The following is a 25536-nucleotide window of genomic DNA, read 5'->3' on the forward strand; positions in this document are numbered from 1 at the left end:
CTGAACTTCCCTTTTCACCTCCATTGCAACCTGCTCCTCCTTTTGTTCCCTATCACAGTCAATGACACTACCACCCGGCCCCCGTGTCTACGCAGGAAACCCAGAATTCACCCCAGACTCTTCTCTCTCCACTACCCTCTCCAACCCAGGTGATCACCAGCTCTTGTCTAGTCTACCCCGGGGTATCTCTGAGATCGCTTCACTTACCTCTGTCTCCAGAGCTACTACCTAAGTCCAGGGCACTGTCATCTCTCACCAAAATTACTGCACTGGCCACCTAATTGGTCTCTGCTTTTAAGCGCCTCTCATCCCCGTGCATTTTTCATTTGGCAGCCAGAAAATACAAATCTGATATTACTCCTCTCCTATAAAATCCTCTGGTGAGTGGTTCTCATTTCCTCCAAGATAAAGTGGGAACTCTAATGCATTTGACAAGGCCCCAGCTATTTAGCCCCCTCCTTTTCGGGCATCATCTCCTTCTACTCTCCCCTTGAAGAACTACTTGTTACACAACTAGTCTGCAAAGTACTTTGCTCACTTCTTTACTCGGTCAACTTCTGCACAACACCTAGGGTTTGGCTCAGATACCATGCCTTCCCGGAAAACGTCTTTGCTGGCTCTCTGAGCTTTTCCAGCCCGTTTCCTGCTGCAGAGCCCAAGCGGCCTTGGGCCCACCCCGCTGGGCCGTGCAGCATTTTGGTTAAACTCATATGCAATATATCGTTGGGTTACCAGGCTTCAAATTCCACCTTGGCCGTTTACTAGCTGTACGACCTAGGTCAAATGAATTCTGTCTTCTCATCTGCAACATGGGGAAAATATTTCATCAGTCTGTTGTGAGAATTAAATGAGATGATGTAAGGTGCCTGACAATTAAGAGTCAGCTATTATTATAGTGCTGAAAATTAAAGCTCGATCCCTCCGCCCCGCCACATTCTCAGGGTCAGATTCGTGTACGATTTCGTTTTAATGTACCCTTTTCTTCCAGCATCCTTGTTTGCTACTCGGCGAGACAGTTACAACAAACCGGGAAGCGATCAGGTACGCGAGCTGGTCACGACTCACAGTCCCAGAGCTCGCCGACTCCGAACGCCCCCAGGTGGCCCAAGCACTCTGCAGCAAAAGCCGCCAGCTAGGACGTACCATTCGAAATTGTAGGGAAAGAAAGGCTTTGCATAACCAAATACTCTGTGTTTATAAGGTCCCTCCTCTTTCGTTTCCTAACCGCAAATTCCATCACACCCAATAAAGTGAGAAATAGGATTGTAAATAAGACGGAGCAAGTAGGTTCCACTTCCTCCCCGATCGTGATCGTGGCATTGGTACTTTCTCTTCTCAATTCCCTCTCAATAATGGTACGGCTAGCGGAGGGGGGAATAGAGGGCCCTGGGAAGGCCTCAGGGCTCGGCGGCTAGTACCAGTGCAGAAACATCCCTCCTGCCGCAGCTTTGTGGTACCACCCGCTGCCCGCTGATTGGCTGCCGGGGTCCCGCAGTCCGCCTCAGCCCGCCGCGCCGCCCTCAGTACAGCTCCGGCCGCCGCGCCGCCTGGCTTTCGTATTCGTTGTTCTCGGCGGGCTGTGGGGCCTCCGCGCCGCGGCCGTTAGTCATGTCGGGTAGGTGACTTCTTCAGCGAGCAGCGGCAGCGACGAGAAGGTCCTGGCGGGGTTGGGCTGTCTTCCCGCCCACCGGAGGGCCCTGAGGAGAAGCCTCCGGCCCTGAGGGAGGCTTGGGGTGGGGGGGCGGCCGCTGCCGCCGCCATGTTGAACTGGAGGCACGCACGCTCCCAATGGCTCCCCGGCTGCAAATCACGGCGGGAGCGCCTCGGGCCTCTTGTCTTTTGACCCTGTCCTTGGAACCCGAGGAGACTTGCCGTTCCCGGGGGAGGGTGTGTGTGAGTCGGGGGGCGGAGGCCGTCTACGCCATCGTAGGGGCGGGGGGAGCCGAGATTAGAGCATCAGCCTGAGAGAAGCGGTGCTTCTGGTTCTCCGCTCCGCCTCGGATCTTTCAGCGAGGCCTCGGGCCAGTCATCTCGCCGCCTCGTACCTCAGTTTTCCCATCCTCGAAGTGGAGCTGGGCCTGCCTGACTCACCCATTCATCAGGTGGGGGCCTTGACGCTCTGGGAGCCCTTTCAAAGGACGTTGCCTTACACGAAATCGTACTTATCGTTATTCACTCTGCAGTAACCACCTGGATTTGAGTTGGGGGTGTTTGCATAGTAATTTAGCTTCCTCTTCACCCTCCTGCCATTCGTCTTCCCCACCAGTTTATCTCCTGAAAGAGTTTGAAAGTGAGCCTTGTCTATCTATTATTGATAAGCTCCTGTAGGTGTATGTGGCATTTACCTTAAAACATGCAGACCAAAGGAAAGGCAATCTTTTTTCCCCCCACGAAGCAGTTAACTTGGCAGAGGCCACCCATTGTGTGGAAGAGAAAGAGAGGCATTAGTCTCTTCAGGACAACCAGTTTGGATCCTGCTAAACCAGAATAAAAAGTCTAGAACATGGATGTCCTCTTGATTTAGCAGATCTAGCTGTTCACACAGGGTCCTCTATTGTTAGGCTGCATCACGGGCCGCAAAGACCCAGGTGTCTATCCACTTGCTAGAAACCATCATGAGAGTTAGATACCAGTTTTCTGCTGGAAATACAGAACATTTCCTGAAACCGTGTGGTTGAGGTGAAACAGGCATTTTGCAGTCTTATATTTTGAGTAAGGCCAAACCTGCCTAGTGTTATAAAACTAGACAAAAAACCCAGGTACCCGGTCTTGCAGGATAGAAATGTGTGACTAAAATGAAGCATCGATCTGAGAAGACTACAAATTAGCGGGAACCTTTGGACAGGAGCATGCTATACATTACTTAGATTAATGTTGATATTTAAGGAGCCAGGATATTGATTTGTTTTTGAGGGGTGCCCATCTACTTCATATAAGAGGCTATAAACTGCACTTCTTTCAGTTTCTGCTTAATCCTTGCTCAAACAAGAAATAATTTCTTATTCCAAAGTAGACATTGGTACATCTTTTTCTAGGTACGTAATTTGGGATGAAGTCTGATAAAGCTCCTTAGAAGTTCTTATAGTACACCCTCACAAGAGTGTATCATCTACCCGTGGTTTAAACAGAAATTAAAATTCTACCCTCGTGGAGAAATTTACCAAGTTTTAATGGTTTCAGTCCTCATTAAAAACTTTTAGCCTGTCTTGATCTTTAACATAATTATTGATATAAAACAATGGCTTCTGTGGAAAGTCGAAGTTTTAGTGGTTTGCTATTTGTAAAATACAGGCTTTTTCATGTATCATATAAGCATATAAGCTGGCTTAATCATTAGTATTGATCTTCAAGTTACTAAGACACCAGATATTTGTTATTTTGTAGTTCGAGTATTTTTTAAAATACGAAATTGGCTTTTCGGTGTGTGAAAAGGGCTACTTACTAGACGCTTGTTTTTAAATTAACATTCAATTAATTAAAGCTAGACTCTTTATATTCTTAGGCTTGGTATACTATTTATATGTTTTGTAATAAGTGTATAAAAATAATACCTTTGACTTTGTGTAAAAATAATGCTTTTGACTTGTTCTTTGATGAATGTTTATTAAAATCCCCCAAAACAACTAATGCCATTAATAATTTTAGTTAAGTCCTTTAAACATTCCAGACTACACATGTAAATTTAATATATCAAATTGACTCAACCACTCCAAAAAACCTAATAAAGTATAAGCACTGAAGTAATCAATAAATCAAAATTGTAGAAATTATAAGTCAGAGTCTAACATTCAAATACTGTTTACAACGTGAATTAGCTAACACCTTAACGAATTCAAATCAGTTACACACATAAAAATTACAAAGTCAAGATAACTTCTCATTCTGGCAGTGTGGCAGACCACGATTAACTTGAAAATCTATCTACAAAGATTTAAAAAAATGGAAAAACTAAGAAAGGACAAACCCCCAGTGCCAAAAATGAAGTAGGAGCCAGCATGGCAGGCAAAGAGCTAACTTGCCAGCTACCCTGGAGAGGAGGGCATACACCTTTTTTAGACACCTGGGTTTTATTGCTCAAGTAACTGTGTAGGGACCAGAGATAAAACGTACGGACCATTAACGCCAGGTAATGGGAACTGAGACTCTTAACATAAATTCTAGACTTAATGTGTTATGGAGTTAAAGGACTGTACATTATGTGAAGGAATGAACTGGAAAAAACCTTAGTACCAACATAAGAGATGACAAGGTAACATGGACGTTTAGGCTCCAGGAAACTTTAAGACAAATTAACGTAAAAATGGTTTCTGGGCTGGTAATACCCTTGGTGTTTCTGTTAAAAACATGAAGAACGGCTGGGCGTGGTGGCTCACGTCTGTAATCCCAGCACTTTGGGAGGCCGAGGCGGGTGGATCACCTAAGGTCGAGAGTTCGAGACCAGCTTGACCAACCTGGAGAAACCCCATCTCTACTTAAAAAATTAAGGCATCCTACATGCCTGTAATCCCAGCTACTCAGAAGGCTGAGGCAGGAGAATCGCTTGAACCTGGGAGGCGGAGGTTGTGGTGAGCCGAGATTGCGCCATTGCACTCCAGCCTGGGGAACAAGAGAAACTCTATCTCAAAAAAAAAAAAAAAAAAAAAAACCTGAAAAACATTTTCTGGAGGAAATTTCATGGTTTAGATCACAAGGAATTTCAGATAAAGCAAGCCTTGCAAAAGATATGTTCATAGTAAATTGCAGAGCTTTAGGAAACATTTCACTGAAATGAGAGTCAATGACAAATAGGATTAGAGCCTCTAACAGATTATCTGAGAGAATATTTTTATGTTTAAAATTGTTAAAATAAACCTAAAGGAAGGAATCAACCCTAAGATCAAGGTTGGCCGGGTGCGGTGGCTCATGCCTGTAATCCCAGCCCTTTGGGATCCTGAAGCAGGTGGATCACCTGAGGTCAGAAGTTCGAGACCAGCCTGGCCACCATGGCGAAACCCCATCTCTACTAAAAGTATAAAAATTGCCAGGTGAGGTGGCGGGAACCTGTAATCCCAGATCCTTGTGAGGCTGAGGCACCAGAATTGGTTGAAGCTAGGAGGCAGAGGTTGCAGTTTGAGACACTGCACTCCAGCTTGGGTGACAGAGCAAGACTCTGTCTCAAAAAAAAAAAAAAAAAAAAAAGATCAAGGTGTTAATAAAACAAGCCACATAGATTTGAAAAAGAATCAAGTAAAACGTTTAGAATTAATTAGGAAAAGTGAATAAGTTGGAATAGCAGACCTAGCAGAAGAAAGAATTACAGATATGATGGATGTGACTTATCTCACAGATGTGGAAGGTAGATGTGATCTTCCAGCATTCAATTCAGGGGGATAAGATATGAAAATGAAAGATTTCAGGCATGGTGGCTCATGCCTATAATCCCAGCACTTTAAGAGGCTGAGGTGGGTAGATCGCGTGAGCTCAGGAGTTTGAAAACAGCCTGGGCAACGTGATGAAACTCCCATCTCTACAAAATACAAAAAAGATCAGCTGAATGTGGCGGTATGCATGTGTAATCCCAGCTACTCGGGAGGTTGAAGTGGGAGGATTGCTTGAGCCCAGGAAATCGAGGCTACAGTGAGCTGTGATTGTCCTACAGCACTTCAGCCTTGGCAACAGAGCGAGACCCTGTCCCCCCCCCCCCGCAAAAAAAGATTAAGAAACATGGGAAATAGATTAAAAACTCCTGTCATACATCTAATAAGAGATTGAGAAGGAGAAAATGGAGGAAGAATCAATAGTTGATTTCCAAAGTAAATGAACATTTTGAATTGAACACTAGATTTAAACATGAAACATTCATACCTAGATACATTGATGTAAAAATGCAGGTTATGAAGTACCAGTAACCTACTAGAGAAAATAGGAAGCAGTGGTATGATTAATAACAGACTAATTAAATATTTGAAGAAGCTGGAAAATAATGAAATTATCCATTAGAGTTTAGAGAGAAAGTAACCATTGACTTTGAATTTTCTTTTTTCTGTTTTTTTTGTTGTTGTTGTTGTTGTTTTTGTTTTTTTTAAGAGTAGCGGGGACTGACAACAGGTGCACACTGCCTTACCTGGCTAATTTTTAAAATTTTTTGTAGAGATAGGATCTTTCTGTGTTGCCCAGGCTGGTCTTGAACTCCTCAGCTCAAGCAATTTGCAAACACCAACCAAAAGGTGATTTTTTTTTTTTGAGATGGAGTCTCGCTCTGTCGCCCAGGCTGGAGTGCAGTGGCGCAATCTCGGCTCACTGCAAGCTCCGCCTCCTGGGTTCACGCCATTCTCCTGCCTCAGCCTCCCGAGTAACTGGGACTACAGGTGCCCACCACCACCACGTCCGGCTAATTTTCTGTATTTTTAGTAGAGACGGGATTTCACCATGTTAGCCAGGATGGTCTCGATCTCCTGACCTTGTGATCTGCCCACCTCAGCCTCCCAAAGTGCTGGGATTACAGGCGTGAGCAACTGCACCCAGCTGATTTTTTTTTTTAAGTTATGTTACTAGCCAAAATAAAGTTCAGACGTAATGTTAAAAGGAAATCACCAGGAACATAGGCCTATACTTTTGTGTGCCTAATAATATATACAGAAAACAGGCCCACCTGTAATCCCAGCACTTTGGGAGGCCGAGGCGGGCGGTTCACCTGAGGTCATGAGTTTGAAACTAGCCTGGTCAACATGGTGAAACTCCATCTCTATTAAAAATACAAAAACTAGCCGGGCAAGGTGGTGGGCACCTGTAATCCCAGCCACTCAGGAGGCGGAGGCGGGAGAGTTGTTTGAACCTGGGAAGCAGAGGTTGCAGTAAGTCAAAATCGTGTCACTGCACTCCATCCTGGGTGATAGAGTGAGACTCTGTCTCAAAAAAAAAAAGTGTGTGTGTATATATATATGTATATATATAAAACCTAAATGACAATTACAAGAACTTGACAAGTCCATAGTTATATGGGAAGTTAAAAAAAATACCTCTTTGTGTAATTAATAGATCAGGCAAACAGTAAGAATATGACCAAACATTAGTAAAATATGAGTGATACAACTAATGAGCATAATGTTATAGACTGATAGAATTCACTTGAAATTTAGAAAATACATAATTATTTTCAGGCACACAGGGAACATGTGCCAAGGGGGAAAAGCAAAACAGGAAATCTGAGCAAATACCAAGAATAATAAAATAACTTTTCTGGCTGCAGTGGAATATTAGGAAAAAACACAAAGAGAATCAAAACTATACACTTGGAAATTCAAAAGCACTTTAAATTTAAATTCGTAGGTCCAGACACAAAGCACAATTGTCAAATAATCACAATGAACAGTTGTTTAGGATGCCTTAATCTATAAACTGATTTTCTCTGATGAATGTAAAACACCTGCACTTTATCACTCAAGGATTTATACCAAGGGACAGATTTACTAGTCAGTACGCTTATTTCTATATCATCTGGGAGTTTTTAAGCTAGCCAGCTAAAGAAGTTAGATTTATAATTTCAGAGGGCTGAAATGACTGGGTTAAGATTAAGGGCCTTACTGTTAGATTTGAGATAGGGTTACAGGACCTATGTGCTGTACCCTACTAAAATTTTGCCTGAACCTAAAGAAAATATGCTGCGATTATGTATTTTGTCACTGGGAGAACCTACATCCATGCTTCAGGATATAGTTTAACCTAAAGCTTCATGCATCCACAAATACCTTGTTTTACTCATTGTTTTCCCCCTCATAACCCTTTTCATCCTTTGATTTGGGATAATCTGATTTCCTGTCATTTCATAGAGGCATCTAATCTCTTAATGGTCTAATTAGATTGTGTATTCTTTTCCGATTTTTCTTAATTGGTTGTTAGCTACAACTCTAGCTATCTTCTCATGGGCCTGGCAGTGATGTGTAATTTTTTCTTTTTCATTTCAGCTAGTTTTATGCCCTCCATATTCATAGAAGTAGTAGTTTGTGTCAAGATTTCATTTAATACTTTTTTTCTCTTTTGAGACAGGGTCTCATTCTGTCGCTAAAGCTGGAGTGCAGTGGTGCAATCATGACCCACTGCAGCCTCGACCTCCTGGGCTCAAGCAGTACTCCTGTCCTGGCCACCCAAAATGCTGGGATTACAGGGATGAGCCACTACACCTGGCCTTCATTTACTATTCTTAAGCATTAAACAAAATCTTGTTCGGTCTAATTGGAGAGCTTTACTGCAGAAAAGTGGCAAATTTGGTATCACCCACTTATATTTGGTGGCAATATTTTCATATTGTAGCGTTATATAAATTGGATGAAAAAGTTTGTTCTAAGGACATATTGTATAATTAAATTTTAAAAAGAGAAAGTTACTGAGCCCCTATCTCTAAAAATTAAAAATAGCTGGGCGTGGTGCTGCACACCTGTAGTCCCAGCTACGCAGGAGGCTGAGGCAGGAGAATGACTCAAGTCTAGGAGTGAGCTGTGATGGCACCACTGCACTCCAGCATGGGTGACAGGAAGAGTTCATCTCTTAAAAAGAAGAAAGAAAAATTTCATTAGGTTTTGGTGTGTTTTAGAACTATTTGACAACAGTGATTTTTGTTTCAAATTGAGTGAGGTTGGGCCTGATGGTCAACAGTTTGCGACTTAGAGCCATTTTTTGCAGTTGCAAAAGCGTTTCATAAAATCTGCTCTTATGCGTCACATACTTGGTCATTCATTTGACTCTGAGTAAAGCCTGAAGGATAGATAAATAGAACCTCTTCAGTAATTTTTGATATGATTGACATTTTGAAGTATTGAGAAAAGCTCATAGTTCAAATTCTTTATTTTTTATGTTACCACCCCCACCCCACCCCCACTTTTTTTTTTTTTTTTTTTTTTTTTTTTGAGAAGTGTCATTCAGTCGTGCAGGCTGGAGTGCAGTGGCACAATCACAGCTCACTGCAGCCTTGACCGCCCCTGGATCAGGTGATCCACCTCAGCCTCTCGAGTAGCTGGGACTACAGGCACATGCCACCATGCCCAGCTAGTTTTTGTGTTTTTTGTAGAGATGGGGTTTCGCCATGTTGGCTGGGCTGATTTCAAGCCATCTGCCTGCCTCAGCTTCCCATAGTGCTGGGATTGTGTGAGCCACCATGCCCGGTCCCTTGGTCATTTTTTTGATTGCTAAATTGAAGCTACAAGCAGGTATTGCTGACTTGCTGTGCCAATTGGCTGAATCCCTGAAAGCTTGGTAAAATCAGAATAGAGCAACTAACTTAGCTGCTTTTTTTTTTTTTTTAGCAAGTCTTTGGAAATATTTTTGTTGGTGCTGACAGCCAAAGCAGTCCAATACAGAGGAATGGTGTATATCTTGGGGTGGTAAGGATGTTCAAGTAGATGTAATCCTGGGGATGTCATAGTGCATGTCTTTCCCCTTTTTGGACCTGATTAGTTTTAACAGATGTCTTTTTGTATATAATAATATTGCTTAAGGTCTTGAGTCTGTTTAAAGAATGGATTTTCACTGTTTACATTTGTTCACTGGGTTCTTGTGACCCTAGCACACATGTAGAATAGTAGTTTGCAAATACGTAGTTATTGTAAAAAGTAAATACTATTTGTACAAATTTCTTGTTTCATAGTATTTAACTTGAGTTAGTTTTTCTTTCTGCAGTTCTTTACATTTTCTTACCACATTTCTTCTGTATGAGCTAAAGTCAGCCTTTGAAGGAACCATAATTTTAAATAAGATTTAAAATTCTTTTTATGTGTTCTAGATTCTGGAAGTTACGGTCAGTCTGGGGGTGAGCAGCAAAGGTAAAGTATACATACATTTTAATAATATGAAAGGGTAGAACTGAGGTGAATTTTGTCAAGCTTCTTCTCTTGAGACTTGATGCTGGATGTCATAAGTTAAATATTAGCTTGTCACAGAGTGAAGAGAGTCAGTGTAAATAGGTGCTGTAAGACATTTATTCCCTTTCTGTTTTTCTTTATGTTTTGAGACAGAGTCTTGCTGTTTTGCTCAGGCTGGAGTGCAGTGGCAAATCATAGTGTACTACAGCCTTAAATTCCTGGGCTTAAGCGATCCTCCTGCCTCAGTCTCCCAAGTAACTGTAATCTCCACTACAGACATGTGCCACTCTACTGGGCTTCTTCCTTTTCTTTTTTTTTTGAGACTGAGTCTCGCTCTTTCGCCCAGGCTGGAGTGCAGTGGCGCGATCTCGGGTCGCTGCAAGCTCCGCCTCGCAGGTTCACGCCATTCTCTGGCCTCAGCCTCCCGAGTAGCTGAGACTACAGGCGCTCGCCAGCACACCCGGCAAATTTTTTGTATTTTTAGTAGAGATGGGGTTTCACCGTGTTAGCCAGGATGGTCTCGATCTCCTGACCTCGTGATCGCCCGCCTCAGTCTCCCAAAGTGCGGGGATTACAGGTGTGAGCCACTGCGCCTGGCCTCTTCCTTTTCTTAAATCTGTTTGCATCAATGAATATACCTCCTACAGATTAAAACAAATCTCCTTGGTATTGTAAAGTTTATGTTTTATTTAGGAAATCTCTTAGAAGAAACAATTATTAAAGAAATTTAATGTCAGACGCTATGGCTCATGACTCTAGTCCCAGTACTTTGGGAGGCCAAGATGGGAGGATTGCTTGAGGCCAGGAGTTAGAAACCAGCTTGGGTAATATAGCGAGACCTTGTCTCTAAAAAAAAAATTTTTTTAATTATCCAGACATAGTGGTGTGTACCTGTAGTCCTAGCTACTTGGGAGGCTGAGGTGGGAGGATCACTTGAGCCCAAGAGTTCAAGGTTGTTACAATGAGTTATGACCATGCCACTGCACTCCAGCCTGGGTGACAGAGCGAGACCCTGTCTCGAAAAAAAAAAAAAAGTTTAAGCAATTGAACTCAACAGTTGTTTTAGAAAAAGCGTTTTATTATGGTGTATAATATGCTAATGTGTTTTTTCAGAGCACATTTTTTTAAAATACCATAAAAAATATTAAGCGTTTTTTTAGTGTGCTTACCATCCTCACAGTAAAAAGGAAGTTCTATTTTTATGTGAGTGTATATATGCAGTGGGCTTCTCTTACCAAAATACAGCCTTCAACTTATAGGATAAATGTTTTACAGCTCAGTGTAAGATACTCAGAATAGCACCTCAGATATCTTGTCAAATTTTAAGCTTCCTGAAAAACAAAACTGATTTGACTTTTTTGATCTTGTAAGATAGTGCTAACTTCCTAGTAGGTATCTAGCAAAATGTTTATTTGGTGAAATGTATTTTCAAAAGTTAAGGAATCTTGTTAGCACTTGATACCTTTAAAATGATAAAAAATTTTGCAAGTGTTTTAGTTTTCTTTGGATATTAGAAAGTCATAGTATAGATTCAGAAAGTTTGTTTCTGACTTGTTAGAGCTTATATACTATAAAATTAATATTCAAATCCCAGGAGGGTACATTTATTTAGTCAGTCAACAAATATTTATTGAGCTATGTGCCAGGCCCTGCTACAATACTGAGGATACGGTATAATTTCATTCAATGACTGTACTGTGGGGATAAACATGCCTCTAATTATTGAGACTTTTAAACTGGACTTCTAGTGCCTCCCTGTGCATCTTTTAGGAAGTTAAAGCCATTTAACTAAGGCAAATGGTGGGAAAAAATTAATCTGTCAAGATGTGATTAAATTGAGTAAGGTGTTCATTTTTTGTGTAGTCATCATTTTTGTGCTTCAGGTATTTATTATAAGTCTTGCTATGTAGTTTTTATTCCCCCCACACCCAAGCATAATTCTCTTGGAATTTTCTAGCTCTTACCAAGTTTTGTTTATTTCTGCAAGATTGTGAAAACAAAACTTTGGGTATTTGTTTCCCATTCAGGAGATCTGGGAGTGACTTCATGTATTTCTTTAACAGTCTTTGATCGTCACCTTTCAATTTAGACTCTAGAGACAGGGAGATTGATGATTTCTCAGCAAAGAAGCTTGTATTTGAGTTGAAAGTTGAAAATGAAGGCAAGGTCTTCATTTAAACTTTAAAATTTCTACACATTTCTTTCAAGTATTAAATTTTTCTTTTGCAGTTATTCTACCTATGGAAATCCAGGCAGCCAAGGCTATGGACAAGCATCACAAGTAGGTTGAAATATAAATTGTATTCTTCATAAGTAGTTATTTTTATCTTAAGTAGGTGATGAAACTTGAGTATTTACCTAAATTTCAGAGCTATTCTGGCTATGGGCAAACGACTGATTCCTCTTATGGACAGAACTACAGCGGTTACTCCAGTTATGGACAAAGTCAGTCAGGTTGGACTAGTTTGTTAAATTTGTTGTTTCAGAGATTGAAAAATCAGAGCCTTCACTAAATGATATACTCATCTAATCTTTAGGTTATTCACAGTCCTATGGTGGTTATGAGAATCAAAAGCAGAGCTCATATAGCCAGCAACCATATAATAACCAGGGACAGCAGCAAAACATGGAATCATCAGGAAGGTAAGGAAATAGTAAAATACTGAGATTGTTTTGGGCAGTGGAAATAACACTGATATTAAACAGATTTAACCAACAAAATCCTAGCTTTAAACTTTTTTTTTTTTTAAAGGAAATTTTAATGGAGTGTGGATTTTACAACTGTATATTATGGAGAATGTGGAAATAGCATTGTCATTTGATTCTTATGATGTATTTGTGAAATCATTGTTTAGCTATAAATTGATGTCCTTAAAAATGTTAGAAAATTTTGGACCTCTGCTTTATCCCTGAGATTAAATAAAAACCTGTCTTTAGAATTAAGACTTCTCAACATCTATTTTTAAATTTCCATTTTATTTTTGAACCATTTGAATATATTAACTTTTCAGGGACAAAAATATTTTTTAAAAGGGTCAAAACTTACGCATATATCAGATACCCTAAAATGTGTTTTCTTTGATATATGTAGGTGAATATTTACTGATAAATTTCAGGTTTTATAAAGTTTTTTTACCTTTCAGATTTAAAGAGCTGGTACTTAATTTTATGCTATTTACTTAATAGCAAGTTACTTTTTAAAAATTGTGCTTTACATTCTGTGAAATGCTTTTGCATTCTCTAATGTGATTGATCTTCAGATACCACTATGAAATAGTGTCAGTGATTCCCATTTTACAGAGGGTAAAGAAATTATTTGGCCTATCAAGTGACGTGGCTAAAAACTGAGGTCTCTAGTGTTTTCTTTCTACAGTGAAGACATTTATTCTAAGTGAAAATTAAATAAAAGCATTGAGGAAAGATTGGTGAGGTCAAATTATCACCCTTACAGATGTGAGAGTGTTTTGAAAAGTAGAAAGTAGAGTACAAATGTAGGGAATAATATCCAGAAGGCATACTACATTAAGAGAAATAACTCTTCAAGCCTTGTTGGTTAGTTTTAAATTTAAGGAGAATCGTTTTATAAATGATGTATTTTTGGAAGCATGACCTATAAATATAGTCTGAAAAGAAATGTTAAGTTTGATTTGACAGCCATTTTAAAGTGCTAGGGTTTGGACTGTGGTTGTGTTGTGCTTTCGACAGGGAGTTAGGGAACATACTGATCTTTTATTAGATTGTTCTGATCCTCTGGTGAAGAATAAAATGTAAACTATTAAGTTATGAGATCTTTTTTGTCCCCCCCCAGCCCATTTTTATAATAAGTAAACCTACTGGAACTCAAATCCAATTAAATGTTGCCTTTTAACATTCCCACCCTGAGAGCATGTAATTAATACAGTAATATTGTTCTGAAGATACTTAGAATTTTCCTTTCAAATCGCTAGAATAAGCAGTCTCATTACCTGATAGAGTTTTTTTCAGATAAAAAAAATTGTGTTACAAAGCAGGTTCTTTTACTGTTTTCTAAAATGTACTATCACTGAAGATGTTTAGAAGACTGTACTATAGGTTCTAAAGATAATTCTAAGAGAAAAGATCTAAAAATATTTTAAGAGAAGACACTTGTTAAACTTCAGTGATATAGAGCCTTTCATTGTAACTATTAAAAGGACTCAGCTCTTGTGGCATGTTTATTAAAGAGTCAGACATATTACTGTACTTTGTAGCATCTTTTACTTTTTTTTTTTTAATTCATAGAGATAGGCCAGGCTCGGTGGCTCACACCTGTAATCCCAGCACTTTGGGAGGCCGAGACGGGTGGATCACGTGAGGTCAGGAGTTAAAGACCAGCCTGACCAACATGGAGAAACCCCGTCTCTACTAAAAATACAAAATTAGCCAGGCGTGGTGGCACATGCCTGTAATCTGAGCTACTCGGGAGGCTGAGGCAGGAGAATTGCTTGAACCCATGAGGTGGAGGTTGCGGTGAGCCACGATCGCGCCATTGCACTCCAGCAGCCTGGGCAACAAGAGTGAACCTCTGTCTCAAAAAAAAAAAAAAAAAAGTTCAAGGAGATAGTAAAAAGCCATAGTAATTTTTTGCTTTACTGCAGTTTTCAAAGATACATTTTTTTTCATAATGTGGCACCTCTTCAATGTTGGCAGAATCGTCTTTCGCAGGGAATTCCAGGAGACTGCAGATAACTAATTACCATGAGAAGGTAGTCATAAATATGGTTAATGTCTCTAACTGGTCAGGACTCTTAACATCAGTTTCAGCCAACTTGCTACAGCAAATGTAATCTTCCTATGAAGTCTCTTAAGTTCTCCATTTCTATTTAGCCAAGGTGGAAGAGCACCTTCCTATGACCAGCCAGACTATGGTCAACAAGATTCATATGACCAGCAGTCAGGCTATGATCAACATCAAGGCTCATATGATGAGCAGTCAAATTATGATCAGCAGCATGATTCCTATAGTCAAAACCAGCAGTCCTATCATTCACAAAGGGAAAACTACAGCCACCACACACAAGGTAAGATTTACTGACCTCTATTATTATTTTTCCCCCTCTCAGAATTATTTGTATGAATTTCTGATTAAAAGAACCACAGAGGATTTCACCTGTTTGTAAAAATTTAGGGTAACCTTGAAGATATGTTCCCTCTCATGGTAATCAAAACTAGTTTATCAGATTTCTACTTCTGAACTTGGAGGCCCTCAGATGGTCATGACTTTTGATGGCTGATTACGTGAATTTCCTTTTTGTCTCAGTGAACTCTGATCCTTGACAATACTGCTGGTACCAGTTCTTTTGGTGTTGGTGTTGTACTTGATTTGGGGTACTTATTTATGTACCTTTAAGGCCTAGTACATGGTTTGGTTCATAGTAGGTGCTCAGTTGAATAATTGTAAGTGTAAGTAAGTGCTTGTTGAATAATTGAATAGTAAATAGTAAGTGCTTGTTGAATAATTGAATGAATAAGTAAATAAGTAAAAGTGGAAGCACATTCACTAAATATCTTCTCTCAGTTTGAAGATTCAGTTATTCCTTGTCCATGCTCAATTTACATTTAAATGTTTCTGAAGTGAAGAAAGTGGTAACTTTTAAGATTGGGGGGCCGGGCGCAGTGGCTCACGCCTGTAATCCCAGCATTTTGGGAGGCCGAGGTGGGCAGATCACGAGGTCAGGAGATCGAGACCATCCTGGCTAACATGGTGAAACCCTGTCTCTACTAAAAATACAAAAAAAAAAAATTAGCCAGGCATGGTGGCGGGCACCTGTAGTCCCAGCTACTCGGGAGGCTGAGGCAGGAGAATGGCGTGAACCTGGGAGGCAGAGCTTGCAGTGAGCCGAGATTGCATCAGTGCACTCCAGCCTGGGCTACAGAGCGAGACTCTTGTCTCCAAAAAAAAAAAAAAAAAAAAAAGATTGGGGTCGTGCTTTTCATCTAAGTTACTAAGGTTCTTGTAGCTAAGATTGTATTTTAACTCATACTGTTCCACATTACTGTTTTGCCATGTCACTTTAGCAGAATGGAATTTGACACAGATACATTACTGTTTTGCCATGTCAGTTTAGCAGAATGGAATTTGACACAGATAAAATTCTCAAAAACATGTAATTCCAGATGATTTTATGATGACTTGCATTTGAGTTGTGTGCACATGTGCCATTTTCTATAAGGATATGTGTGGCCTAAAGAGCCATTTAACATTGTTATTTGAAGCTTTAGAAATGAGAGTGGTTATTTGTGTGTAATATTTTCTTTTTTGTAGATGACCGTCGTGATGTGAGTAGGTATGGAGAAGATAATAGAGGATATGGCGGGTCACAGGGAGGAGGTAGAGGGCGTGGGGGATATGACAAGGATGGAAGAGGTCCTATGACAGGATCAAGGTAAGTATGTAGATAAAGATGCGTACATTTCTTCTTCTTCCTCTTTTTTTTTTTTTTAAGGTGTTACTTGGCTGGATCAATTCCAGCATCTAATTTAGTTAAGAGACTTTAAAAAGGGATTATATATTGGAGAAAAAGGCAGAAATTAAAAGTGTATTTTCAGTCTTAATATCTCACATAAATGACCTTAGAATTGGCTATGTTAGTAGTTAGTTTATGTGGTACATGTTAAACACCAGTAGAGAAACAACTATGGTTGTGATTAAATCACTTGACTTTCCTGCCAGAGCTAGAATCTTAACTCCTTTAAAAGACGACTCTGGGAAATCCAGTGTTTGTATGTAAAAATAAAAGGTAAGTTAATTCTAGATTGAGGGGCAGAGGCTATTTCTTAATCTCCAATCTCCTTGGGAAGGGAAAGTATTAGGAGGCAGTAATGGAGTAGAAAGGTGGGGATGGCAAATAAGAGAAAGATTTAATGTAACAAAACTGTTTTGTCCCTCTTCTTAAGTAAATAATTATTGGAATAATTAGTGTAACATCACATAGTAATGTGTATTTTGTCTTGACTAAGTTGTGTAAAGGAATGTCTTTTTAATTCAGCTTTTCTTTTCTCCATGCTAGTGTTATCAGGTTTTGGTATTTATTTACTTACAGCATATGTTATGAAGCTGGTTTGAAAATTGGTTTTAGATATATCTGCAAGTTTACTACTTTGACTGTAAAAAAAAAAAAATGAAAAAGTAGTTGACATCTGTCCTCAGAAGAAGTTTGCAGGTTGCATATTTGTGTGTAAATACACAGGCTAAAAGGTAATTTATGTTCCTTGGGAATTGAAATGGTCAGTGGCCCGTTACAGAAACTTATCAGTCATATATCAGCACCAGTTCATTCTTTTGCACCTTAGGGACCATCTGTCCCCTGAGGTGACCTGAGAAACAACCAGTTGCCCACAGACTGTTATTTCTTCAAGTGAGCCAGGATTTGATTTCACTGCCTTATATTCTATTTTTAGTGTACAGTGCTTTGATTTTTTGGAAAAACTAAATTTTAAACATATTTGAAAAATGTTATAAGACTTGGACATTAAGTCTGTTGATAGCCAAAGTCAGTTTACCAAAGTAAAACAAATAAATTCTATGCTTCTTCATTGTCAAAGAGCAGTCTGCCATCATGTGGATATAAATGGACTATGTAAAGTGACATGGTGCTTACTCTCTACCTAATAATAGCCTCCCTCCTGTTCCAAACAAGATAACCAACAGGTATATTTAATTTACCAGTTAATATGTTTTGGATAATTGGCTGCCTTGAAATGCTATATGTTTTATAGTACATCATAGCTTTAGTTTTCTTCATAAGGAAATTACAGTTACATCCTAATCGATTATTAAACTATCACTGTGTCTAAGAATGGTGGAAGAAGATAGGGAATAGGTAGGGAAGTCATTATAAATATATTTTCACTGGCCAGGCATGGTGACCCATGCCTGTAATCCCAGCACTTTGGGAGGCCGAGGCGGGCGGATCACGAGGTCAGGAGATGGAGACCATCCTGGCCAACACAGTGAAACCCCGTCTCTACTAAAAATACAAAAAATTAGCCAGACGTGGTGGCAGGCGCCTGTAGTCGTAGTCCGAACTACTCAGGAGGCTGAGGCAGGAGAATGTTGTGAACCCGGGAGGCGGAGCATGCAGTGAGCCGAGATCGTGCCACTGCACTCCAGCCTGGGCGACAGAGCAAGACTTCGTCTCAAAAAAAAAAACATTAAAAAAAAATGTATTTTCATTTGTGACTCATCTTGTAACTAGAGGATCGAAAGGACTTTGAATGATCCTCCTGACAAAGGAGGGAAGCAGTACCTTAATCAACCCTGGGGTCCAATTAAGTACTTTTATAAACCCCTTGCAACATACTTCATATAATTTGTGGCCTAGATACTGACTTATAAACTAAATTTTTTATTTTCCTTTAATACCCCTTAATACAAAATCATATGCAGAAGTCCAATATCTAGTTGGTCCAAATGATGTGCTGATCTGGTTTCAGTGGGGGAAAGGTCGGGTGAGGAAGGGATCTGCAATCTTGCCTTATACTCTGTTATTTGTTGAGATGTTCATGAAAGGCCTTTTTTAGAAATCCGTATGGATGCCGATTACTCTTTATATTGAGTTGGCAAGCTGTGTGAAAGGCCAGATAGTAAATGTTCTGGGTTTGGTGAACCATATGGTTTCTATTGTAACTATTCATCTCTGCCCTTGGAGCACCAGAGCAGCCGTAATTAATATGTAAATGAATAAACAGAGTTGTGTTCCAGTAAAGCTTCATTTATGGATACTGAAATTTAAAGTTCATATAATTTTTTTTTTTTTTTTTGAGATGGAGTCTCGCTCTGTTGCCCAGGCTGGAGTGCAGTGGCACCATCTCAGTTTACTGCAACCTCCACCTCCCAGGTTCAAACAGTTCTCCTGCCTCAGCCTCCTGAGTAGCTGGGACTACAGGCGTGTGCCAGCACACCCGGCTAATTTTTTTTTTTTTTTTTTTTTTAAGTAGTGATGGGGTTTCACCGTGTTAGCTAGGATGGTCTCGATCTCCTGACCTCGTGATCTGCCCGCCTTGGCCTCCCAAGATTACAGGTGTGAGCCACCACGCCTGGCTGAAGTTCATATTATTTTTATGTGTCATAACACATAAAATTATTTTTATGTGTCATAACATCTTTTTAAAGATGTGCTTTTTAGCTTATTTATTGGGATAAAATGTTTTGAATTTGAATATAGATGCCCTGTTTTAAGATTTTTTTTTCCCACACAGTTTTGCATTTAAGTACCAGAATACCCAAACATTTTTCATTAGTCTTCATCAACACTCCCGTTTGTGTTCTCAGTCAAATTAAAAATAGCAATTCTTGGCCGGGTGCGGTGGCTCACACCTGTAATCCCAGCGCTTTGGGAGGCCGAGGCATTTCCACTAAAACTACAAAAAAATTAGCCGGGTGTGGTGGCGGGCTCCTGTAGTCCCAGCTACCCTGGAGGCTGAGGGAGGAGAATGGTGTGAACCCAGGAGGCGGAGCTTGCAGTGAGCTGAGATCGCACCACTGCACTCCAACCTGGGCAACAGAGCAAGACTCCGTCGCAAAAAAAAAAAAAAAAATAGTTCTTTTGGGGGCTGTTTGAAGAATATCTGGCATTAGTTGGGTTTATATTAAAAGAAGAAGGGGCATGGGCCAGGTATGGTGGCTCACGCCTGTAATTCCAGCACTTTGGAGGGCACAGCGGGTGGATCACCTGAGATCAGGAGTTCGAGATCAGCCTGACCAATAGGGTGAAACCCCGTCTCTACTAAAAATACAAAAAATTAGCTGGACACGATGGTGGGTGCCTATAATCCCAGCTACTCGGGAGGCTGAGACAGGAGAATCAGTTGACCTGGGAGTTGGTGGTTGCAGTGAGCTGAGATCACACCATTGCATTCCAGCCTGGGCAACAAGAGTGAAACTCCATCGCAAAAAAAAAAAAGAAGGGGCATAATTTGTGGATGAGGATTGGATATAAGGTAAAGGATGGGACATTCTTGGACTTACAGATGGTGTGATTGCCTGGCTAGAAGAAGAATTCCCGGTCAAAAAGAAACCATCAGCTTTCCAAGTGTGAAAGAGAGATAAATCTGTGAAGATTATAGGGACTACAGGAAACTTAATCTTTTTCTTTGAAAAAGCAATTGTAGCAAAAAAAAAGAAAATTTCTTACTGTCATCTAAAATTGACATGGACATCTTAGTGGACTAGAAGTTAAGGGCATAAATTCTCCCAGTGATTTTTAATTTTAGCATTGTGATTAACACCTTCTAAAATTGCCAGAACTTAATAAATAATTGCTTTTCATTATTAGTATGCCATCAAATTTAGTAGCTGTTTCAGGCTTTAATGTGTCAAGCCTAAAATCCAGATTTTTGAGGATCTTCTCCCTCTTAAAAGAGTATTCAGTTAACTGCCGTAGAAATACACATGTATACAAGGGCACTGTATACATCAGTCTAAAAAATAAAAATATGTATACGTTCTGGTGAGTCTAGCACAGCATTGCCCAATAGAAATACAATGGAGGTCACAAATGTGACCCATATAGTTAATTGTAAATTTTCTAATAGCCACATTAAAAAGAAAACAGCACAAATAAACAAATGAGAAAATCTATTTAACTCAATATATTCAAAATATTTCATCATGCAATCAATATAAAAAATTTCTTTTTGTTGGTCATGATGGCCTGCGCCTGTAATCCTAGCTACTTGTGAGGCTGAGGCAAGAGGATTGCTTGAGGCTAGGAGTTTGTGACTAGATGGGCAATATAGTAAGATGTCATCTTTTAAAAATGAAAAAATTAGCTGGCCACTGTGGCACACGCCTGTAGTCCCAGCTACTTGGGAAGCTGAGGTAGGAGGATTGCTTGAGCCCAGGAGTTCAAGGCTGCAGTGAGCTATGATTGTGCTTATGAATAGCCACTGCACTCCAGTCTGGGCAATAGTGAGTCGGTCAAATTCCATTTCCCCCTCCGCCCCATACCTCTTCAAATGTTTAAAAAAAAAAAAAAAAAAGTACTGTACATTCCTTTTTTCATATTAAAATTTAGAAATCCATTTTGTATTTTGCATTTAGAGCACATCTTAATTTAGACTGGCTACATTTCCAGTGCTCAACAGGCCACATGTAGGTAGTGGATACTGTATTGGACAGTGCAGCTCTAGAATGATAGATTCTTGGCCTCCTGAGATGTTGATAAATGCTGAATCCAGAAAGCCTTTTTACCATGCATGTAAGACATAGGAGGAAATAAAATGTAAATACAGCTGTTATGGAGAATAGTACTTAAATCCATTGAGTCACTTAAATGTGGAATTAATGTTGGTCTTTTCCTCACACTCAGAAAATTGTATTCTGGATTTAGTAGTCTGAAAACCCAAGCACAGCATGGGTTTTTAAGCTAACCTTTCTCCATTTTTAGCCAAGTCCTTTCTCTCTAGTTAGTGAAATTTTCTAAGAATAGAGATTCCTGCATTGTCCTTTTACTTCTTGGCAGTTTTAGTCCATAAATAGATATAGTTAGGTTTTTATTTTATTTTTATTATTTTTTTTTTTATTAAAAGATTTGGAGGCTGGGCGTGGTAGTCATGCCTGTGATCCCAGCACTTTGGGAGGCCGAGACGGGTGGATCACGAGGTCGGGAGATCGAGACCATCCTGGCTAACATGGTGAAACTCCATCTCTACTAAAAATACAAAAAATTAGCCGGGCGTGGTGGCGGGCACTTGTAGTCCCAGCTACTCGGGAGGCTGAGGCAGGAGAATGGCGTGAACCCAGGAGGCGGAGGTTGCAGTGAGCCGAGATCGTGCCACTGTACTCTGGCCTGGGAGACAGAGCGAGACTCCATCTCAAAAAAAAAAAAAAAAAAAAAAAAAGAGAGAGAGAGACCTGGAGTAGAGATTCTGTCAAAGAACTTTTTCTTTCTTGAGAAGCATCTGAAATGGAATCTGTTGTCTCTTCGAAATATGTACTGCTGTAACAGTGAAACAACCCTCAGAGTATGCCTTCGTGTGGGCTGCTCGTTGTGGTTTTGAACTTGGGGGAACTGTCTGTGTTTGGGTCAAGAATATGCAACTGGCTGGGCACATTGGCTCACGCCTGTAATCCCAGCAATTTGGGAGGCTGAGGCAGGTGGATCACCTGAGGTCAGGGCTTCAAGACCAGACTGGCCAACATGGTGAAACCCCGTCTCTACTGAAAATACAAAAATTAGCTGGGCATGGTGGCAGGTGCCTGTAATCCCAGCTACTCGGGAGGCTGACGTGAGAGAATCGCTTGAACCCGGGAGTTGGAGGTTGCAGTGAGCCGAGATTGCACCATTGCACTCCAGCTTGGGCAACAAGAGTGAAACTCTTGTCTCAGAAAAAAAAAAAAAAGTATGCAACTAGCTGGGGGCTGTGACGCGTACCTGTAGTCCCAGCTACTTAGGAGGCTGAGGTGGGAGGATCACTGATGCTCAGGAGTTCGTGACCAGACTAGGCAAAATAGCAAGACACCATCTCAAAAAACAAACAAAAAAACCAGCTAGTTTTCTTATGCAGGGGGTACTCTGCCAATAAAGTTGAGTATGCTTATATTGTGTTTCTGTTAAATATCTCTGCTACTTCAGGAATTCTTTATGTGTAAATGTTTTCTGCTTTTTCTGGGAATTAAAGCAAATTTGTTGTGTCAACATCTTGACTCAGATGTTCAAGTACCTTTGTGTCTTGATTTGCCTTAGCATGTAGAAAAGGGACTTGTAACATTAATGCAGATTTGAAAGAAAGATTGTTAACCTCAGGCACATCTTCTGTTAATATCTAATAGTACTACTTGAAGGTTATTTTCTGTATTTAATAAATTCCTTAAAAAGGATAATTTTCTAATAAGAAGAGAGAAAATGATTGAAACGTTTGAACTTGAAAGAAGGCTTTGCATAAAATTACAGATCATCTAGATCAATGCCTAAACCAAATGTCTAGACATTTTAGACTTAAATGTGCATATGAATTACTTGGGGGATCTTATTAAATGCAGGTTCTTATTCAGTAGGTCTAGGGTGGGGCCTGAGATCCTGCTTTTCTCAGAACCTTCCAGGCTATGCTTACGCTTATATTCCATCATGTTTTGATTAGTAAGGGGACAGACCCTTATTTTGTTAAGGAGATTGAAGCTTATGGAGAACCACTGACATGTCCAGATTTTCAAGATTGATTAGTTATAGTTAAGACTGTACCCTGAGTTTCTTGAAGACTAGTTCTTTTTCCAGTGTACTATGGTATTTCCAAATTTATGGCCATGTGTTGAAATCTTCAGCTGCTTTATTTTCAAAGGAAATGCACAGTAAAGATGACGTTCAAGGCCGGGCGCAGTGACTCATGCCTGTAATCCCAGTGCTTTGGGAGGCCGAGACGGGCGGATCATGAAGTCAGGAGATTGAGACCATCCTGGCTAACACGGTGAAACCCCGTCTCTACTAAAAATACAAAAACAAAAATTAGCCGGGCATGGTGGCGGGCGCCTGTAGTCCCAGCTACTCGGGAGGCTGAGGCAGGAGAATGGCGGGAACCCAGGAGGCGGAGCTTGCAGTGAGCCGAGATCGCGCCACTGCACTCCAGCCTGGGCGACAGAGCAAGACTCCGTCGCAAAAAAAAAAAAAAAGATGATGTTCAAATGTATTATATGGAGGAATAGGAAATCATAAACCTATTTAAATGTCATTTGTTTTATATCCCTTTATTTTTGCCAGGGGTATGTCCTTTTTCTGTTGTTCAAAGTTATATTACTGGCCAGAATGGAAATTATAGGAACTAGCTATGTATGAAATTGCATGTTTTCCATCCATTGTGGCCAGGTTTGGTATTCCCTTAAGATGGCAACAAAGTAAGAGGCATTTCTTCTAGCACTTATTCGTGAACCCAGTGACCTCCAATTTCCCATTTTAAAAGTCATCTTTATCCTCGGAACTTTAACCTACTGGCATAAGAACGTGGGCTTAAGTTCTTTTTTATCACTTTTTGGAGTTAAAAAACCTCTGAGAGGCCGGGCGTGGTGGCTCACACCTGTAATCCCAGCACTTTGGGAGCCTGAGGCGGGCAGATCACGAGGTCAGGAGATCGAGACCATCCTGGCCAACACAGTGAAACCCCGTCTCTACTAAAAATACAAAAAATTAGCCGGGCGTGGTGGCGCCTGCAGTCCCAGCTACTCGGGAGGCTGAGGCAGGAGAATGGCATGAACCCGGGAGGCGGAGCTTGCGGTGAGCCAAGATTGCGCCACTGCACTTCAGCCTGGGCAACAGAGCAAGACTCCGTCTGGGAAAAAACAAACAAAAAAAAACCTCTGAGATACCTTGGTTTCTATTAATAATATTTTCAGCAGTTTAATCTCAACTCTGTTGGCTTCCCTTTCTTAAAGAGTTAGGCAGTGATATACATGTCATTTAGAAGTAAAGGGAGGGCTTTAGTACTGCCTGTTCTGAAGTAGGAGTCTTAGAAATTCAGTGGCAAACTGTATAGGAAGGGCCTGAGTTTCATATTGTCTATATTGCCTTGAAATAGCCTTAGTCTCCTGCTTAAAAAGGCATCCTGGAAATCATATAAAAAGTAACAACAAATTAAAATGCATGTGTCTGTACCTAAGGCAGCTGTAAGTGGAAATATTTTTACCTCATAGTGAAATAGAATGGATGTATTAAGAAGGGAGAATTTTTTTTCAGAGTGTTTTATCTCAGTGTGGCTCAGAAAAGCCATTTATAGGGTAGGGTAATCACTAGAGTTGAGGGTTCCTCCCCCCACCCCCCATAAGATTGGTATCCATAAAGCAGAGATTTCTAAGCAGTGAGAGACTTCAGTATTTTAGATTAGATTCTTGGGTTATAATAGAATAAGATCATTAGTAGTAGAACATCTGGTATCAGAAAACTTGAGTGTTTTTATTGCCATGTTAGCATATGAATCTTAAAGGATTACAGAATTCAGTTAAGAGAAACAAGCTTTTATTGGATGGGTATTTAAAGAGTTTCTTGATAAGAGAGACCTTAGATTTCTTACGTAAAGCCATGTTCACAAGGACCACTGTCCTTGTGATTCTAATTTGCCAGATAAAAGTCTATGTCCTGGCGCAGTGGCTCGTGCCTGTAATCCTGGCATTTTGGGAGGCTGAGGTGGGCGGATTATTTGAGGCCAGGAGCTGGAGATCAACTTAGCCAACATGGTGAAATCTCATCTCTACTAAAAACACAGAAGTTACCTGGGTGTGGCGACACGCATCTGTAATCCCAGCTACTAGGGAGGCTAAGGCAGGAAAATCACTTGAACCTGGGAGGTGGAGGTTGCAGTGAGCCAAGATCCCACCACTGCACTTCAGCCTGGGTGACAGAGCGAGACTCTGTCTCAAAAAAAAAAAAAAGTTGTCCTGTTTGGAATATGTTGCCTGCTGTCTGTAATGTGCACTACTGATAGTGTACAGAGCATGTGGCAGCATGAACCTCCGTAGCTCTGATGTGAAGAGATGTAGTATAGTGGGTATAGAGTAGGAGGGCGGTTTTTAAGTGATGCTCTTTTAGTCTTTTATAAGGGTTTTGAATGATTTGAAATTTTAAGACTGCTTTTATTCAGTCTCAACTTTTGTGTATATTTGTATTTCACTTTTAAAATTCATCTCATAAAATCCACTATTTGGTATCATAGCAGATCCTAATACTCAAGTTTTTATTCTCTCCCGTTCTACCATCAA

At 40.4% G+C, this 25536-nt stretch overlaps 1 protein-coding gene across 2 annotated transcripts in view, besides 1 other annotated feature; it reads left to right on the forward strand.

Annotated features, from left to right (window-relative positions):
• TAF15 (TATA-box binding protein associated factor 15) overlaps positions 1523-25536 on the forward strand; it is a 37759-nt gene continuing 13745 nt past the window's right edge. The window contains exons 1-7 of one of the 2 annotated variants that reach the window (NM_139215.3): positions 1523-1615; positions 9755-9794; positions 12063-12114; positions 12203-12287; positions 12371-12476; positions 14679-14872; positions 16117-16237. In NM_139215.3, coding sequence (NP_631961.1) covers positions 1609-1615; positions 9755-9794; positions 12063-12114; positions 12203-12287; positions 12371-12476; positions 14679-14872; positions 16117-16237 — 605 coding nt within the window. In that variant the 5' untranslated portion in view covers positions 1523-1608. The remainder of the gene's footprint in view (positions 1616-9754; positions 9795-12062; positions 12115-12202; positions 12288-12370; positions 12477-14678; positions 14873-16116; positions 16238-25536) is intronic. The other variant, NM_003487.4, reaches the window with a different exon arrangement.
• Positions 1538-2239: an enhancer, noted in NCBI's record as "NANOG-H3K27ac-H3K4me1 hESC enhancer chr17:34136503-34137204 (GRCh37/hg19 assembly coordinates)". NCBI's record gives its function as "activates a minimal SCP1, AML or CMV promoter by ChIP-STARR-seq in naive H9 embryonic stem cells {active_cell/tissue: H9 hESC(naive)}" and the evidence as "EXISTENCE:reporter gene assay evidence [ECO:0000049][PMID:30033119]".

This window comes from Homo sapiens, chromosome 17 (assembly GCF_000001405.40).
Source record: "Homo sapiens chromosome 17, GRCh38.p14 Primary Assembly".
NCBI classification, from domain to species: Eukaryota; Metazoa; Chordata; class Mammalia; order Primates; family Hominidae; genus Homo; species Homo sapiens.